Source organism: Homo sapiens, chromosome 7 (genome assembly GCF_000001405.40).
Source record: "Homo sapiens chromosome 7, GRCh38.p14 Primary Assembly".
Taxonomy (NCBI): domain Eukaryota; kingdom Metazoa; phylum Chordata; class Mammalia; order Primates; family Hominidae; genus Homo; species Homo sapiens.
In genome coordinates, this window is record NC_000007.14 from 104,326,969 (window position 1) to 104,346,335 (window position 19,367).

The following is a 19,367-nucleotide window of genomic DNA, read 5'->3' on the forward strand; positions in this document are numbered from 1 at the left end:
AATACATGAATTACATGCCTATAGAAAAAACTGAATGGAAGATTCTGAAAACTCATGCTTTTAGATGCTTTCCCCAGTTTCAGCAGCAGCCCCTTCATTATCTTATGTGTCTCACACCCCTATTCCACTTTCTCCCCCTCCCTCTTCATAGAATCTCAAATCTTCAGACTATCAAATGAAAAGCATAATTTTCATCACTTAGGTTATGACCCTTCTACCATAGAATAGCCGTTGATATAGCCAATTAGGTAAGACTTAGGGTCCAATTCTATCAGAATTCTCTCTGATAGAAATGCTCAGAAAATTCTGTGATCATATGGTTCAAAACGATTTGTTACCAAAATCCACTCCTACAATTAAGCATTCTGGTTTCATGGCTGGGGGTGGGAGGCAGTTACATGTTTCTTTATATCAGAATCAGAAGGAAACAAACAAAAAAACCAACGGAAATAGGGAAATGCAGTTTGAAAAGTAGAAACTGTTAAAAGAGCAACAGAAAGACTGTTAAAAGGGAAAACATAAGCTAAGGAAACAGCACGAAGGGCAGGTGTACAACAGCAATGCCATGTGAAAATGTAAGGAATTCTATAGTGGTAATTCCGGGATAAATTAGCCTGAAAACAGCTCTCTGGTTAGCTTTGGGTTGTAGGGGGAGATGGAAGTTCCTGGACAATTAACCATCTGCTATGTCTTTTTGTACCCTTACCACCCAGCTCAGCGTCTGGGCACAGAGTAGCTGTCAATATTTGTATAGTAAGTGTAACACTGGCCGAACTACCCTGTTTTCAAACAAACTATAAAATTCTGTGACACAGTCCCTTCCAAGCACACACAGGCCCAATCTATGGAAGGAATTATCGGGGAAACGACCTAAAGGAAAGTATGGGGCATCCATTGGCTACAGTTCAGCTGGCTGCTTGGGGGAAAAACGCAAAGAGGACGCAAGCTCAGCTGTGCTTGATGTGAGACCACCCTTGAGATTTGTCTTTTACATTATTGTCTGCCAGGCTCCTGCGCAACTTCTATCTCCACCTGTGGACCTGAAGGCAACCGAGGAGTTAGCCAGGGGCAGTTCTGTGGTAACAAGAAAGACTCTTGGGGGCTGTATGCCTCCACTGCCTTGGCGCCTCTTGCCTGCAATTGCCGCGCTGCCCCTCGTGCCTCTGCAAAGATGCAGAGGTCGAAGCACGTTTCTGTGCGGTGATGAAATGCTCGCTGAATCAGCCTCTCGAGCCCGGCCTCTCACACCCACCAGGATCCTGGGGTTGTCTCTAGGATCCCTGTGGGTGCTCCTGCCACCTTCTTAGACTACCCTCGCCCTCCTAATCCAGGCCCACTTCTCTGGCTCATGTCCACCCCTTGATGGGCGTTCCGGGGTCGTCACTGTCCTCTGCGCCCCTGGGCACTGGCAGCGCGGGCCGGGCAGCGGGGAGGGAGGCGGGAAGCAGAGCGGGAGGCGCCCCGGGCTTGCGCGCCGCGGTGCTCCACGAGGGATTTGCCGCCTTCAGCTGCAGCAGCTGCAGCGGCGGCGGCGGGAAGAGGGGTGGAGGGTGGTGAGGAGGGCCGGAGCCCGGGCCAGGAGGGAGGGAGGGGAGCCGGGAGGCTGTGCCAGGCGAGCCGGAGGGGTGCTCCGCGCTCCCCCGCCCTCCTTCCGGGAGCGAGGATGCAGACTCTGAAACTGGTGCTGCTGGGCTGAGGCGGAGGCAGGGGAGTTGCAGCGCGCGAGGCTCCGTGAGTGTGTCTCCTGCGCGCTGAGAGGCGGGGGGAGGCGGAGGACCAGGAGGAGGAGGAGGAGGAGGAGGAGGGGGAGAATGCCCGGAGCCGCCGCCGCTGCCGCCGCCGCCGCCGCCGCGATGCTCCCGGCTCAGGAGGCTGCCAAGCTGTACCACACCAACTATGTGCGGAACTCGCGGGCCATCGGCGTGCTGTGGGCCATCTTCACCATCTGCTTTGCCATCGTCAACGTGGTGTGCTTCATCCAGCCCTACTGGATAGGCGACGGCGTGGACACCCCGCAAGCCGGCTATTTCGGGCTCTTCCACTACTGCATCGGCAACGGCTTCTCCCGGGAGCTGACCTGCAGGGGCAGCTTCACGGACTTCTCCACGCTGCCCTCGGGCGCCTTCAAAGCCGCCTCCTTCTTTATCGGCCTCTCCATGATGCTCATCATTGCCTGCATCATTTGCTTTACCCTCTTCTTCTTCTGCAACACGGCCACTGTGTACAAGATATGTGCCTGGATGCAGCTCACCTCCGGTGAGTGCGCGCTCACCTCCGCGGAGGCGGAGGACCCCGGGGCGCCCGAGCCGGGGAGGGGCCAGAGTGGGAGGGACGGGGGCTGTGCGCGCCGCTGCGAGCCAAGCCGCCTAATCCGCTCAGGCGTCGAGGTGTGGGGGGCGGGAGCCCAGCGAGGCCGGAACCCCCGGGGTTCCCCAGCCCCGGCGCTGGCGCCTCGTCCCGGGGCTTTCGTGAGCCTCCCAAGTGTGGGGGACGCCCACTCAGAGGGACGCCCCGGAGGCAGGGCGGTTGTGGGGCCGAGTCCGCTCAGAACTAAGGATGGTGGGTGGAGAAGTGGCCGCTTAGAGAGATGGGGCCGGGGTTCCGTGCTGAGGGACTAAGGAGGGACTGACAGGGCGAAGTGAAAAGCGGATTTGGAGAGGTCATAGTGGAAGGAGCAGCCAGCCTGCCCTGCCCCTCGCTGCTGGGACTATTTCTGTCATTGATCCTGGGAAAGGGGGCGGGGGGCGGTGGCTGGAGTGATACTGTTTCTTTCCATCCCGGGCAGTTAAATATGTTTACTCCTCCATCCGGAGGTGAAGAGATCTTAATTCTGTTTTGGGTTTCCCCTTGTAAGAAGAATGTAGCTTAGAACATTCTTTCGCAATTCCTCAATGTCAAGTCTTCAGTTTGCCTCCTTGTCCGTGCAAAGTTCCTTCCATTTCATCTTTAAACAGAAGTCTTTAGTAAATCAAGATTCCTCAAGATCTCATTTTTGGGAAGTGGCTTTGGGGAAGTAGGCAGAGAGGAGAATGTTTCATTAGCATCTCCGATCACTCTTTCCCTGTGGATGATAAATTGTTGCTAGCTGGAGGATATGAAAGTACTTTTTTTCTGTGCATCAAAGTTACTTTTAACCCAGAAAGGATGGGGTACATTTCCTGGTGACTTTGAAGAGTCCTGAAACAAAACTGACTCCTTGCTGTACTTCCCCTGATGGCGATTGCCTCTCTGCCAGCCAGCTTGGATGCCCTCCCTTCTAAAGTCAAGGGTCCAGTGGTCGTGACACATTTCTGTTCCAACATTGTTGAGGTCCTTTTGATTTTATGGATGGTCTGGTTGTAGAAGGGCACTGAATATCTTAGGCAGCTAAAGTTTTCATTTGCGTTTTCTTTTACTGTTCTCATTTTTAAGATGTTTCAAGATTTTGTCGTTTATTCTATTCCTGGGAAGGTTTTCTGGGGAGAGGGATTCAATCCCTGACAGAGTGTTGTAGGATGAGTAGATACTTAAAGGTGCTGGACAATAGCGTTAAGGTTCATAGTCCTATATTGCTAGTTTGATAAGGAAAGAGAAGCTTGTGGGAGACTACACTTGTGTGAAAGTATTTATTTTGTGTTTTGGCTCGCCTGATATTGATTTGCCATATATTGTAAAAGTGTGTATGTGAAAAGCAAGAAATGAGCAGCAGTAGAGACTCCCTCCTTTACACATACCATTATCTCCTGAACGGGGAGTTCTGCGTCTCCTTCTGCACCCCCATCCCCAACTTTTTCTAGCAATTCCTCACTCTATGTTTTTATATATAAAGTTAACTTTTATGGCCATTTCAAGCAGAATAACTAAGATTTGGAATAAATTCATGTATTATGGCTGTTCTTGACACTTAGCTCTGGTTTGACTTTGAAGAGGACACACACATGCAGATGCTGTAGAAAAAGAATTGACCCTGCACAGCTAATTTTAATTTTTCTAAGTTAAATGACCTATTTAGACAGGTGATTCAAATTACATCGTTTTTAAAAGGTCTGAAAATACTTTGCAGGTGCTTTCTCAACAACGTATTCTTCAATGTTTGATTTTTATGAGGTTTCCTACTCTAACCCCCCGCTTTTTGAAAGACAAAAAGAAAATGATCTTTGAGAAAGAAATACCAGCTTTGAAGTTAATACAAACTGCAACCATTACAAGGTTTTTTTGTTTTGTTTCGTTTTTCTCCTTTTCTCTTTCTGGAATAGAGCACAGAAAAATTGTCTGTCCTGGAGCAGTGAAATATAATGTTGTTCTCAGGCATTTGACATCAATGTTTATCCTGTTTTCCACGTCATGTAAAATGTGGGGATAGTTTTTGTACTAAAGATGTAAGGACATTTACTTCATTTTGGAGAAGTCCGGATCCTTAAGTGACATACTTTTTAAAACCTTTATTTGCAATTATTTGGCATTTTATTTCTAGGTAAACTATAGTACATGATTTTGTTCATTAGTGAAGTATATTAATAAAAGAAAAATTGATTCTGATGACAGGTCAAATAAGGATCTGTCACTCATTCACAGATTTTTAAGGAATAACATAGAAGATATTTCTAAACAATGTTACATTTAACATGGTTTTCAGGATTTTTCTAAAAAAATTAAGTCTCATTATACTAACAAAAAATTTAATATAAACTATTGTAAGTTACTTTGAAAGTTTAGTCTAGGCCGGGCGCAGTGGCTCATGCCTGTAATCTCAGCACTTTGGGAGGCTGAGGTAGGTGGATCATTTGAGGTCAGGAGTTCAAAACCAGCCTGGCCAACATGGTGAAACTCCATCTCTACTAAAAATACAAAAATTAGCCAGGCGTGGTGGTGGGTGCCTGTAATCCCAGCTACTTGGGAGGCTGAGGCAGGAGAATCTCTTGAGCTTGGGAGGCGGAAGCTGCAGTGAGCCGAGATTGCACCAGTGCACTCTAGTCTGGGAAACAGAGCGAGACCCCATCTCAAAAAAAAAAAAGAAAAAGAAAGTTTAGACTTTAGACTATTCCTCTTTAATGTTAAGTAGTCTTCTCCTACCTATTTGTTTACCAGTACCTAGGCTAATCTCAAGTGTAATTTGCTAAATATGAAAGATGAGACCTTAGTGTACTATTTGCTTATTAGAGACTATCCCTCATTGGAAATCAAACTATTCGCTTGTGTATTTAGTTATCTAAGCCTTTTTAATATACTAACATCCTATATGTAGTCAGGTAGAATATAAAATCCTATTTCTTTTCTTTTTTTTTTTTTTTTTTTTTTTTGAGATGGAGTCTCGCTCTGTCACCCAGGCTGGAGTGCAGTGGTGTGATCTCGGCTCACTGAAACCTCTACCTCCTGAGTTCAAGTGATTCTCCTGTTTCAGCCTCTTGAGTAGCTAGGGCTACAGGCGTGTGCCACCACACCAGGCTAATTTTTTGTATTTTTAATAGAGACAAGGTTTCACCATGTTGGCCAGGCTGGTCTGGAACTCCTCACCTCAAGCAATCCGACTGCCATGGCCTCCCAAAGTGCTGGGATTACAGGCGTGAGCCACTGCACCCAGCCAAAATCCTATTTCAAGTGATACATTAAGATGATGAAACAGACTTCTTATGATATTACAATATAAAAAATTATTATTTTTATGATTCTGAACGATGAACCAGAAAAATTAATTTATTTATTGGACCTGAAAATGATGTTGCTCGTTCATCTAGGTGTGTGAAGCACATTTAATTTTCGTGCCGTTATGAACACCTTATCCTCTCCCTCCTCACTCTAAGTCTTTATCAAACACAGTAGCATGAAACTAGGAAGCACAGAATTAGGAGCTAATATATCATACTATCTTTGGATGTCATCCTGTATGTACAGACCATGTCTTATATAAAAACTGGAGACATAAAAATAATACATAAAATAATGATAATAAGAGATATAAAACTTTCCTAAATCTGTAGAAAGGCAATTTCTTCAGAAGGAAAAAAAAAAAAAGAGGCTTTCTGTGTGATTTCTCTGACACTAAAAGGAAAAGAGTAGATTTGTAATTGGTCAAGCAGGGTAATAAAGTCCAGATTTTTAAAAAATCAGGATAGAAAGGGAATTTTCTTCCCCTGGGAACCTTATTTTCTGCTTCTATGTTCTTGTTCTCTTTAAGTCAATATTTCAGTTGGTTTCTGAGTCTACTAATAACCACATTTTATAAACCACACTTTGTTTGTTCTAGTGACTATAAGCCATACCTTGAATTGTTTCCAGAAGCCCATGTGTTCACCATATTAGGCCAAAGAAATCTTTAGTTTTCTTTTCTTTTTATAAGCTGAAGTATTCAGTGGAACTTAAGGTTTTGTAGACATCGGTCATGCATTTCTTGGTCAAAGGCAACAGATGTGGAAAGATACTCGCTTTCATCTGTGGAGATGGGACACCTGATCCAGATTGGATTTTCTTATTAAGGAGAGATGAGGACAGAATGGGTTGTACTCCCCAGATTCCTCATCTGTATCATTCTGAGTGTACCAGCAAGAAGGGCCAGCAAGAAGTGCCACCAAGATGGCAAGGCTTTATGGCAAGGGGTAAGGGTTGAATTGTTTAGTCTGTTACCCCCTAGCCTCCTAGATTTAGTTCTGCCAAATTCTTTTTATCCCGCTTGCTACCTTAAATTTTATAACTTTGTCATTTAGGTGAGATGAGAATCACCAAAGGTAATCACTATATTTCTTAGCCTGCAAGAAGAGCCTTTGAAATGTTATACCATCCTATCTTGTGGCACCCTCCTGTTTTCTTATAGATCTCATTAGCATTTGAAATTACAGCACATTTCCATGTTTATTTAATTTCTGTCTTCTCCAGTGCATTGAAAGTTCCATAAGGCCTTGACTGTTTTTCTTTGTACAGCATAGAGGTCAAAAGCATGGAAACTGGAGTTAAAAGATGTGGATTTGAAGCCTGGCTGTGACACTTACGGACTGTGTGACCTGGAGAATTAATCTTCCTATGCTTTAGTTGCTCATCTGCAAATATGCATATAATTGTACCTGTCAGGAGACTGTTGCAAAGACTAAATGAGCTAATGTATTATTTAGTGTCTGGTTTACAGTAAGTAGGCCCTCTGTGAGTGTTGGGTATGGTTGCTGTTGTTGTCTTGCTATTATTACTATATCCTGGCATATAGTAGTATGTGTATATCTGGCACATAGTAGGTATTCGATAATTTTTCATTGAGTTAATAAATTGAAAAATAATGAATAATCGGGTGAAGAATGAAAGGAAAAAGGACTTTAAATTTCCCATATGTTGGGCTGGGTGCAGTGGCTCACACCTGTAATCGCAGCACTTTGCGAGGCCAAGGCGGGCAGATCACCTGAGGTCAGGAGTTCGAGACTAGCCTGGCCAACATGGTGAAACCTTGTCTCTACTGAAAATACAAAAACTAGCCAGGTATGGTGGCGTACACCTGTAATCCCAGCTACTCAGAAGGCTGAGGCAGGCGAATCACTTGAACCCGCAAGGCGGAGGTTACACTGAGCCGAGATCATGCTACTGCACTCCAGACTGGGCAGCAGAGTGAGACTCCATCTCAAAAGAAATAAAATTCCCATATGTTGTGGCAAGAAGTGAATGCTGTGTACTTTGAAAGCCGTGATACTCATTTCTCAGTGGTGTGTGGCGTCACTAGTAGTGACCACACTGAAAGAACTAGTCCTTGTTCTTTGATGACAATGGTTGTGACTTGACACCCTAATTTGTGATGAGCTTTTTCCCAGAGGCTTTCTGATGTATAGGTAATGATCTTTATTACAGCATTGGGAGATAATCATATCTCAGGCTTCAGCAAATTTTCCCTTACCATTTATTTTCTCATTAAAAAAACCTCATATCATCCAAAATGGAGGCTTTATGTAAAAATCAAGAGATTGGGTTTTCTTTCAGAAAGAGCAGGGACTTGTTCTAGGTTGGATTTCCTTATGTACCTTCAGGAGCAATAAAGACAGGAAAAGACTTTTCCTGTCCTTCCAGGCTTTCCCACTTCTTACTGGGCATCAGTGCAGATGTGCTCTTCTTGGACTCCCATGGAGCAGGCCAAGCCCTCTCTGACAGAGTGATTCTGAATGTACTGAGCTCTGATGGGGTGCTCTGAAGAGGGGACAGAACTGGGATGTACTCAGGTGTAGACTCAGTGTTCAGGACAATCATCTGTCCTTACCCTTTGGCTAGTGCTGAGCAGTGTGAAAAAGTGAGCTCTTGCCCCAAAATGCTGCTTATGCATCCTGAGTTCAGTGCCAAGGAGTGACCCTAAAGAGAGGCTTTTCCTCTATCAGAGCATTTCAAATCTTCTCCCATGTGTAGAGGAAAGGATACCTACAGCCAGTGAGGGCAGTTTTTGTTTTCTAACAACATATTTCACTTAAAATAATTTTTTATTTACCAAGACAAACTTACAAGAAAGTGATCTGGAATAATTTAGAACCATTTCCCTTATATGTAATGTGACAAGAAATGTGACAATTGGAAGAGATGTTAGAAAATAATGTGATGTCAAAACAAACAGTTTTTATAAAAGTGAGATTTTAAGAAAACATCTGTGAAAAATAACCGGTCCCATATAACCCATACAATATATTGTTAGGAATTTTTTTCTTGGTGCAAGGCTGCACAATCAACAAGTTTCCCACTGTAAAAATATAATAAAGTACTTCTATATTTCCGTAAGTAAATAATATAATAAAAGTCTAACCAGAATGTGGTATCAGAGGCTTAATATGAAAACACCTATTTGGTAATTTTTGTTTGGCATGTTGCTACCACTCAGGAAAGAGGATCCAGATGGCCAGGCTAGTATATTGCACTGTATGTACATACCTCAGAAATCTTTCAAAGGGAGTAAAATGAAAAAAAAAAAAAAAGAAACAGAAGAGCATATAGCTAGAGTTCCAGTATGTGGCTCAGTGCACTTCTGTGTGTGGTATCAGGAGATGAACTATGGGGAGGGGAGTAGAGAGAATTTTGGATCACATTGGCACGAAGCAAATAACGCTCTAGGAGAATTCTACTTTGAGGGCTTAATCTCGTGATAACTGGACTAGTTTTAAAGTGTAATTTCCATAATGTATTTGAACTTTGGGGGTCAGCACCAGCTTTAATTAATGTGAATTTTCCTTATCATAATGAGTCAACTGGAATTTTTATTTGATATGAGGAAAGACCAAGGAGCTGACCTTTATTCTTAATAATAAAAAGAAGTTAGTAATAATGATGGAAAGTAAGAGGCTGCTTCATATAGCAAATAGTAGATAAGTTATTTGATGACTTAAACATAATGCTCTTATAAAAAGTCACTGAGGCATTTGAAAAATAGAAATAATCTCCCTCAGCATCCTAAATGTTTACATAATTAATATCATAATTAAAGACATAAGCGCTTAAATTATGGCTACAGTTCTATGATATGCCCACTGCACAAGGTCCTGGTACTATTCATAGTTTAAATTGTCCTAACTATAATCTTGAGTGAGTGCATTTCTCACCTTTTTTGCTTAAAAAAAAAAAAAGAAAAATAAGGGGCTTGCAAGGGGAAGATAAATAGTTTTTCGACCAATGTAGACATGAACCATATCTGACTACTATTGGCTAGAATGAAAGAAGAAAGCAAACCTTTTGGAAATAGAGTTGCTGGCACAGAATTGCCATACTTGAGTTCTGATATCTCCCCCACCCTAATGAAACCAAGGGCTGCAGCAGGGTAGGGCTGCTATGTGTGCTCAACAGGAAGAAAGATCCTAAATGATTGTCTGAGTGAAGTTGATCTTCTAGTTGCAGGAAATTTTAAGATTATGACTTATCAATGAAAGGGCTAGTGGAAGGGCAGTGAAAAATAATGGGATAAATGAAAAATAGTTGTAGATCTGAAAAGAGGCCCTAACTCAGAAGCAGACATGCACAACCTAAATAATCAAGGGGGTTCTCCACATTCTATGCCCTGTTAGAGAACAATGGCAGATAGGATTTTGAAGGGGATTCAACTTTAGCTTTAGTACAGAATGCATCACAGGCCCTTTTTTTTTAAGTGTTTGTAGACTCCTTCTGGAAGTAGTCTGCAGGGAATGTTTTCTGCATGGCCCTTAGTTGGTTTCAGGGCAGATCAAGAGTGAGGTGCTGCAAAATCGAAATGGGAAATGTGTATTATAATTGACAGAAGGCTCAGTATTAAAACAAACAAACAACAACAACAACAACAAAAACAGGCAAACAAATCCAGCTGTGAAGAATGGCAGGTATATGGAACAGTGACACCAAAAATGAATGAAGTATGAATAGTAAAGAGATGATGAAATTCAGGGTTGGAAAGCCTGTGGAATTTCATAACATCAGATGCCTATTTAATTTGATATCATCAATGGCTTAAAAATGTATTGGCACAGGACAAGCAGAGAGCTAGAATATGTCATATGGTGCAGAGCTGTGTGCAAATCCCAGTTTTTAAGAAAGAAAAATTATGGCTTCACCCCCAGTCAGGGAATTATAATAGACTCTAAAATTAAGCTATTTAAAGGGAGAGATACTAGATGTATGGCAGGTGGAAATAAGTAGAAAGATTAAAATAAGGCAACCTAAGAAAGAATAGGTCATTGTAAAATTTGACGAAAAGCATTTCTAATGTTTCTTTTTGAAAACCTAGTTATAAATTGTGAGTTTAAATTGATTTCTGTAATATAATGCCTTTAATGGGGAAAGGGTACTTACAGTGAACATTTGGGTAAATACATTTACAGAACATTTTAAGAACCTGTATAATTACAAACTAGACTAATTGAATTCATCTAAAATTCAAATGATTAATAGCCAGCGATATTGTGGATCTGTGTGATGCCAAATATGAGCTGAATAGCTACATTTTAACCAGTTGACTGGACAAAACATAGTATTGACCACTTGGTATGTTATAAAAACCTTCATAGAGAAAGGAATGCTCTACTGTAGTGTTTTAAAAACCATGGTTGATGACCTTTTAATGGTCATGATATCAGTTCGTAGATAATCAACATTAGAACTTGGATTAAAAGAGAGTAGAAAATACGAATGCAAGGCATATAAAAAGGGTCTTATGATACCTTTATTTTCCTTTTTCTTTTTTTTTTTTTTTTTTTTTTTGAGACGGAGTCTCGCTCTGTCACCCAGGCTGGAGTGCAGTGGCGCGATCTCAGCCCACTGCAAGCTCCGCCTTCTGGGTTCACACCATTCTCCTGCCTTAGCCTCCTGAGTAGCTGGGACTACAGGCGCCCGCCACCACGCCCGATTAATTTTTTTGTATTTTTAGTAGAGACGGGGTGTCACCGTATTAGCCAGGATGGTCTCGATCTCCTGACCTCGTGATCTGCCCGCCTCGGCCTCCCAAAGTGCTGGGATTGCAGATGTGAACCACTGCGCCCAGCCAAAACCTTTATTTTCTAAAAATATTTACATACTTAAACACATACGTGTGTGTGGACTAGGTTGCAATATAAAATGTATTACTGTAGGCTGTAGTCACAATGTTTGAACAATACTATTCCAGAGCAAAGATGATTTAGTGTGAATTTAGGAAAATAATCATTTCTCCTTTGGAAAATTGTGGAAGATTTATACAAGTTATTCATAGCTAATTTTGTATTAGAAGGTAGATTAGATAAAATATACTTAACCTAAGCAATTTGAGACTTTTTTCCTTTGGTTTTATTTTCTCACCTCCATTTATGACTTTTATTGCTAATGTATTATCCCCAATTAAATTGTAGGTTGATTGAAAATTAGACTTATTTTCCAGATGTGATTTGATTGACCCTTTGTGCTGTAAAAAATGACATGGCCCACCTCTGAGAAACAATATAGCTTAAAAACCATTTAACAAAAGTATTTAACCTTGTGTCAAGTGGATATAGACTCATAGGCTTTTGAATGTTGGACAGATATTAAAAATCACTTAACATACTCTTCTCATTTTCTTGATTAAGAAATAATAATGGCCGGGCATGGTGGCTCACGCCTGTAATCTCAGCACTTTGGGAGGCCGAGGCGGGTGGATCGCCTGAGGTCAGGCATTCAAGACCAGCCTGACCAACATGGTGAAACCCCGTCTCTACTAAAAATACAAAAATTAGTCAGGTGTGATGGCGAGTGCCTGTAATCCCAGCTACTCGGGAGGCCGAGATAGGAGAATCACTTGAACCCAGGAGGTGGACGTTGCAGTGAGCCGAGATGTTGCCATTGCACTTCACCCTGGGCAACAAGAGCGAAACTCCGTCTCAAAAAAAAAAGAAAAGAAATAATAATGATAAATACTAACTATTGAGCAACGACCACTTGCAAAAACCTTTAGTTTGACCCTCATAACAATCCTACAAGGTTCGTATTATACCCATTTTGCAGATGAAGAAATTGAGGCTTAAAAAATTACTCAAAAGAACTTGTTCAAGGTCATAGAGACAATAGGTGGTTTGAGCCAAAATCAGACTCTTTCCCTGGCCTACGGCATGTTTCCACTAAGTCTGAGAGAGATTCAGAGTCTTGCCAAAAGAATACCTTGGAAAAATTGAGATCAACACGCATCTGATTCCCACTGCAGTTCCATTTCTGCCACTTTCTTCTGCCTCCCAATGTAACGTCCATTTCTTTAGTGTAAGTCTTCAATATGCATTTTCACCATTCTGTATCATCATGCAAGGAAGGAGCTGCTCTTTGCAGGGGAAATAATTATCTATGTATTTTCCAGAATTTCCTCGTCAAGCATACTTATGTAGCCGTCATACCATCCTTTTCATTTCTCTAACCTAGAGTCTGCGGTGATTCTTTTCCCCTAATGTGCCCTTGGTTACACCTCTGAGATTATTGCCATTAATCTTAGACTGTGAATTCCTACAGGACTAGAGCAACATCCACATTACTGGCTCTATGTCATCCATTCTTGCCCTCAATTAAATGCAGAAATTTTCTTAATAGATTTGCTTATTGATGGTGGTGGTGAAGATGGACAGAGTTGCTAAGGTACTGACACAGTTCCAGAGAAAGTAATAATAGACTTGAGCAGTTTCTGGGGGATCAGGGTGAGGAAGAGAAGCTAGCGTGTGGTCAATATTTGCATCTTGACCTGTCATCTTACTGGCTGGATGACTTTGGGTAAGTCATCTAACTAATTTTGACTTTTCATTTTCTTGACTTAATTTTTCTAAGGCTTGTACAATTCTATTCCAGATTTTTTTTAAAAAGAGATTGCAAGTTATAGACATTTAAAAAATAACATCTGCTAACCAAATGTTGCTGTGTATTTACCAAGAAAGTAAATGTTAGGCAAACCATCAAGGATAGAGTGAAATTAAAGCAGAAAGAAAATAAAGAAAAACTAGAAAGACGAGTAGGCATCTAAAGTTAAGTTTTCTCAATCTAATGAAACTTTAAATAAAATATATTTTCTTCGTTCTTAGGATTATTGAATTAATGCACATAAAACACTTAAAATTGTACCTAGAACATAGTAAGCACTCAAAAAAATGTTAGCTATGATTACTGTTACTATTCCTACTACTACTAAAGAGATCAGGGCCAGAGGCATGGTTAGTGTTTACAAAATTTAGTAAACAGAAAAATTGAACTTACAATGTACTACCTAATGAAGGCAATTGAGTGGCGCAATTTGTGTATGCTGGATCTACTTTGTTTTGAAATTAAGAAAATGTTTGCGAGTATTTTTAGTAAACTGCATGGTGTTATAAAAATGCTATTGTGATTCTTATAATGAATTGTATGCATTACTAACAAAACACCAGGTTCAGTTAAGAGTTTAATTTAGTGTTAACAGAACTAGCTCTTCCATTTTATTTGCCTGGAGTAATGACTGAAAATAATAGGAATGTATTTTGGAAATCATTTTGAACTGTTTGATAACTGCAACTACACAAACTTAAAAAAAGGAAGCCATGTTTTGAAGAATGCATGGCAAAACAGTTTTTTAATTGTGTTAAGACCTGAACATTTAGTCATTCTTACTAAGTTCTTCCAAATGGTAGAGAAATATTATCAGCTGTTACCCAAATTATTTCCTCTTCACAGTTATCGAAAGCAAAATTGAATATTCTCCATCTCTAATAACATCAGGAACAAATTAGAAATAGCATTTTCCTCTGCTATTCGAAATTTAACTATAATACATTGAAAATTAGGTTTCTCAATACTTTATCTGTGAATCTTTATTGTTTTCCTAAGTAAAGAAGGTAGTGATTTAAAATTTTCAGATTTATGCTCAAATGAAGGTTATGTTGTTCTATTTTTCATTAACATGTTAATTCCTCCTTGTATTTCTTTAGCTTTTCTAAAGAAAGTAAAAAAGCAGCAACAACATTGCTTCTTATAAATGGTTCATTTTAAAGTCATCAGTTTATTATAAAATCAGAATATCAAGTTTGCTATGACTACATCTATGACTATGATCCAAACTACTGGATTAAACAACAAGCAAATGAACATTCTCTGTTTTACATATTCATCCAAATTCCTTTTGTGGTGACTATTTAGAGCTGATTTTGACAAGAGAACTTACTAAATAAGCTTGTTTGACCACACTGTTTTTGGAGATGCCAGTGAGCATCACTGAGCCATCCTGAAGGCCATGGTGAATAGTTCTGCTCTTCCAGACCTCTCAGTCTTTTGAAAGGGCTCTCCAGTAAGATGAGCAGGATAGGGAAATGGGTCAGGATCCACCAGCCCCAGTTCACTTTGCTGAAGACCCCTCCATTGTCGGCAGGATGGGCTCTAGAGGGAGCTCCAGCCCTGTCATCTTGTACTTCTGAGAACTTTGCCTTTTACAGGGTCAGGTCCAGACTCATTTTCTCCCTGACACTGCCTGTAGGATGATATTCTAGAGGACGGAGGGTGGAGGATAAAATATGAAGACTGAAAAAGAATAAAAAAAAGGATTCATCAGAAATCACACAGTAGAAGGGAAAGCTCCTTTACCTACAAGGGAAAAGCTAACTCCTCCTGAATATTTCTGCAGCCCCTTGCCTTAATATAAAATGCTTTGAAATTACTCTCTATAATCTATCTGACCTTTGGAGAAGCTGCTGTGACTTCCAATGGCCTCCTTTTTTGGAGAACTCATTGGCATGGTCATCCCCATCAGGTCATTTTGGTTGTTGTTTCTTAGACTGGAGATGGACACATGGGGATGACTTGAGCAGTTCACTGGATAATTCAAAAGAAATTGAGGAATTCAGAACTCTAAGGTTCTAAACAGCCCTTTGGTCTTGGTGGTCATGAACTATGCATTATAGTTGTGTTTCTGCAGGTGCCTGAACTTGTTTTGAAAATTTAAAAAGTAGGGTTGGAAATCCCATTTCTTGGGAAACTTTAGGGACTTTTCAGAATTTAAAAATAATGTTTAAGATAACTCAGAACATGGACCGCAGCCATAGGCAAATAATGCTTCACAAAATCAGAGTGAAAAACTGGGCACCTAATTTAATTACCAGTTCCTACCTACATATTCCAGTCTCTGTTTCCTTAAATAAAACAAAAGAAAAGGAAAGGAATGAGTTCCTTTTATACCCACAAATAGCATTATCCACTGAACACCACTCAAAGGAGACACAAATTCTCAAGCTGGTTCCTATTTTATCTCTTTAGGAACCTGAAGTGCAGAAAGTTCTTTAAAGGAAAATTTTCAAAAAGCACACTTCCCTTCTCTAAATCAATACTTTTTCCGTCTTATACTCAGAGAGCATTCTTTTTAAGCCTCACCAGAATTTTCCCTCATTAGCCCCAGTGCCCTGCTATGGCCCCAGTACCCACTAAAGTGTCTGTGTGTGAACAAACCAAGTAGAAAATTTGAAACTGTACTGATAGTGCAATTTAATTCAGCATGCTAGCATTACTGTGGTACTGCTTAGAATGTTTTGGCCACACATAGTGTGCAGAGAACAAAGGAGAAAATTCTGCAATCAATATGAGTTTGCATTTCATAAGGGCTGTTCCCTTCTTTTGCATATTATTAAAGAATTGACTTTTTTTTTTTTTTTGCAAATTCTCTAGAAAACCAAACAAATGATTGTGAGAGGTGGTCCCTATACACTAAAGTTTTAATTATGATAGAGCTATTCAAGAAATGGAATGAGTCTCACTTATAATTCTTCGTCTCCAAGTCTCATGATGACATGAGCAGTTCATTTGAAATTTTTCCCCAAATGTGTTAAAGTATTATCCAAGTTTAGTGTAGAAATATGATTTATAAGAAGCCAAAGGCTGGGTGTGGTGACTCTCACCTGTAATCTCAGCACTTTGGGAGGCTGAGGAGGGCGGATCATGAGGTCAGGGGTTCAAGACCAGCCTGGCCAACAGAGTGAAACCCCATCTCTACTAAAAATACAAAAATTAGCCGGGCATGGTGGTGCATGCCTGTAGTCCCAGCTACTCTGGTGGCTGAGGCAGGAGAATCACTTGAACCCGGGAGGTGGAGGTTGCGGTGAGCCAAGATCACACCATTGCACTCCAGCCTGGGCAACAGAGTGAGACTCTGTCTCAAAAAAAAAAAAAAAAAAAAAAAAAAAAAAAAAAAAAAAGCCAAGCTTGAATTTATACAATGAAAGAGAAGGTGATTTAAATACCTATTGTAGTTATAAATGTTATTTAGCCTAGCCATCACTTTGATTTTGTCTAACACTTGCAAAATGAACCATTGTCACTTCATCTGCCTCATGTTATGAATAATATATTTTACATTTGTGTGTATGGCTTGCGTGTGTGTGTGTGTGTGTGTGGTTTACAAAATCATACTAAAACAACCATTTGTGTACCTGCTACCCACTCCCCTGATTACATCCCCTCTCACCTAGAAGTATCCACTTTCTTGAGTCTTGAGTTTTGTGTTATTATCTTATATTTTCTTATAGTTTTATCAGTGATGTACACATTCCTGGGTAGCATATTGTTTAATTTTGTCTGTTTCTGTTTTTAAATGAAATGCTTTTAATATTTCACCATTTAGAATGACATATACTATAGATTTTTATTTTTGCAAATACTAATTAGATTAAAGGAGCTCCCTTATATTCCTACACTAAGTTTTTAAATTGTGAATGTAAGTTGAATTTTATTGAATGCAATTCCTGCATCTATTGAAATGATCAAATTACTTTTCCAAATTAATATATATTGATAAGATAATTATAATACTGGATTTTCTAATGTTGAAGTAATTGTGCATTTAAAAAATGAAGCCAACTTTGCCATACATCATGTGACTTGATGCTAATATTTTATTTATTATTTTTAATTTTTTTATTTCAATAGCTTTTGGGGTGCAAATGGTTGTTGGTAACCTGGATGAATGGTATAGTGGTGAAAGCTGAGATTTTAGTGCACCTATAGCCCGAGTTGTATACATTGTGCTCAATATGTAGCTTTTAAATCCCCAATCCCACTTCCACCCTTCCCCTTCTGAATCTCCAAAGACCATCATATCACTCTGTTTGCCTTTGCGTACCTATACCTTAGCTCCCACTTAAAAGTGAAAACATACGGTATTTGGTTTTCCATTTCTGAGTTACTTCACTTAGAGTAATGGCCTCTAGCTTCATCCAAGTTGCTGCAAAAGACATTATTTCATTCTTTTTTATGGCTGAATAGTATTCCATGCTGTATGTATATATGCCACATTTTCTTTAGCCACACATTAATTGATAGGCACTTAGGTTGGTTCCATAGCTTTGCAGCTGTGAATTGTGCTACAATAAACATATGCATGCAAGTGCCTTTTTGATATAATGACTTATTTTCCTTTGGGTAGCTACCCAGTAATGGGTTTGCTGGATCAAATGGTAGATCTACTTTATGATTTTTTGAAGTATTTTCATGAGTAAAATTGGTCTTTTTTTGTTTCATTTGTCACACTGGCTTTACCTAGTTTGGATAAGAGGGTTATATAAGATTCATAAAAGTTGAGAAGTCTCTCTCTTTTTTTGTCTTTGAGAAAAAAATTTGTGTATGAATCAAATGTCTGTTTTTGGAACGTTTAATAGAGTTATCTCATAAAACTGTTTGAGACTGGTATTTCTTTATGGAAGGATTTTTATACTACTATTACATTTCTTTAATTGTTATAGAATCATCTAGGCTTTTTATTTCATCTTGAGTCAGTTTGTAAAGATATATTTTCCTAAGAATTTGTCTAATTATTTTATCTAAATTTTCAAATGTGTTGGCATAAAGCTGCTCCTAATATATTCACATAATAGTGTAAGGGTTGCTTGTGTATTCTCTATGTTCTTTAACTCAATTTTGCCAAAGTTTTGTTATTGCCTTTTTAAAAGAACCAGCTTTAACTTTGTTGATTTTCTCCACTACATTCTTCTGTCCTATAGCATTCATTTTTGCTTTTTAAAATATTTCCTTCTGTTTTCTTTGGGTTTAGTCTCTTGTTCTTTTTCTAACTTTTTAATTTGGTTACCAAGTTTGTTAATTTTTTAGCCACTACCACTTTTGGGAAAATGACCTGTTTATCTATGCTGAGATTTTTGAAAAGGATGTTATTGTAAGTTTTGAGCAGGAATTGCCTGCAACCATTATAAGCATCATATAAAATAACAAAAGTCTATGTTCATTATAAAAAGCTCAAGTTACTTGTTAAAATATTTACAAATATTTCAATGGCATGGTTTATACAAATTACATATACTTGATATTGAAGCTACATTCAATATATTTTTAATATTTAGTACTTTATATTCATTTTTTTCTGAGTTATGTGATGTAAACATAATAAGTGGTTTTACAAAGTTACATTTAGCATAATAGATGATGCTCCTAGATACCTTCCCATTTATTCTAGCAATTGCTATTGTACTAGTATCATTTTCTATGATATGAAAAAGATGAGAAAAAACTCTTTACCACTAGTGGTCAGTTGATGCCCCCATGGTTAATGTCAGCTTTAGTGCTCCACTACATCTTTGGATTGTTGCTTTGTCTTTTTTCTTACTTCTAATATTGTCTTACTTTACTATAAGCTCAGTCTTGCATGCTTTTAAAAGTTTTGAATTTTTATTCCTTCTTTTTTTTTTTTTTTCTTAGAGTCTCTCTCTGTTGCCCAGGCTGGAGTGCAGTGGTGTGATCTTGGCTCACTGCAACCTCTGCCTCCCAGGTTCAAGCAATTCTTCTGTCTCAGCCTCCTGAGTAGCTGAGGCTACAGGCACGTGCTACCATGCCTGGCTAATTTTTGTATTTTTAGTAGAGATGGGGTTTTGGCATGTTGGCCAGGCTGGTCTCGAACTCCTGACCTCAAGTGATCCACCCACCTTGGCCTCCCAAAGTGTTATTCCATATTTTTAAGTGTTCTAGTTATCAGG

At 39.7% G+C, this 19,367-nt stretch overlaps 1 protein-coding gene across 2 annotated transcripts in view; it reads left to right on the plus strand.

The window, feature by feature from the left end:
- The first annotated feature begins 1,634 nt into the window (after nt 1-1,634).
- The window catches only part of LHFPL3 (LHFPL tetraspan subfamily member 3), a 579,959-nt gene continuing 562,226 nt past the window's right edge, over nt 1,635-19,367 (plus strand). For both annotated transcript variants that reach the window (NM_001386065.1, NM_199000.3), the window contains exon 1: nt 1,635-2,256. In NM_001386065.1, coding sequence (NP_001372994.1) covers nt 1,812-2,256 — 445 coding nt within the window. In that variant the 5' untranslated portion in view covers nt 1,635-1,811. The remainder of the gene's footprint in view (nt 2,257-19,367) is intronic.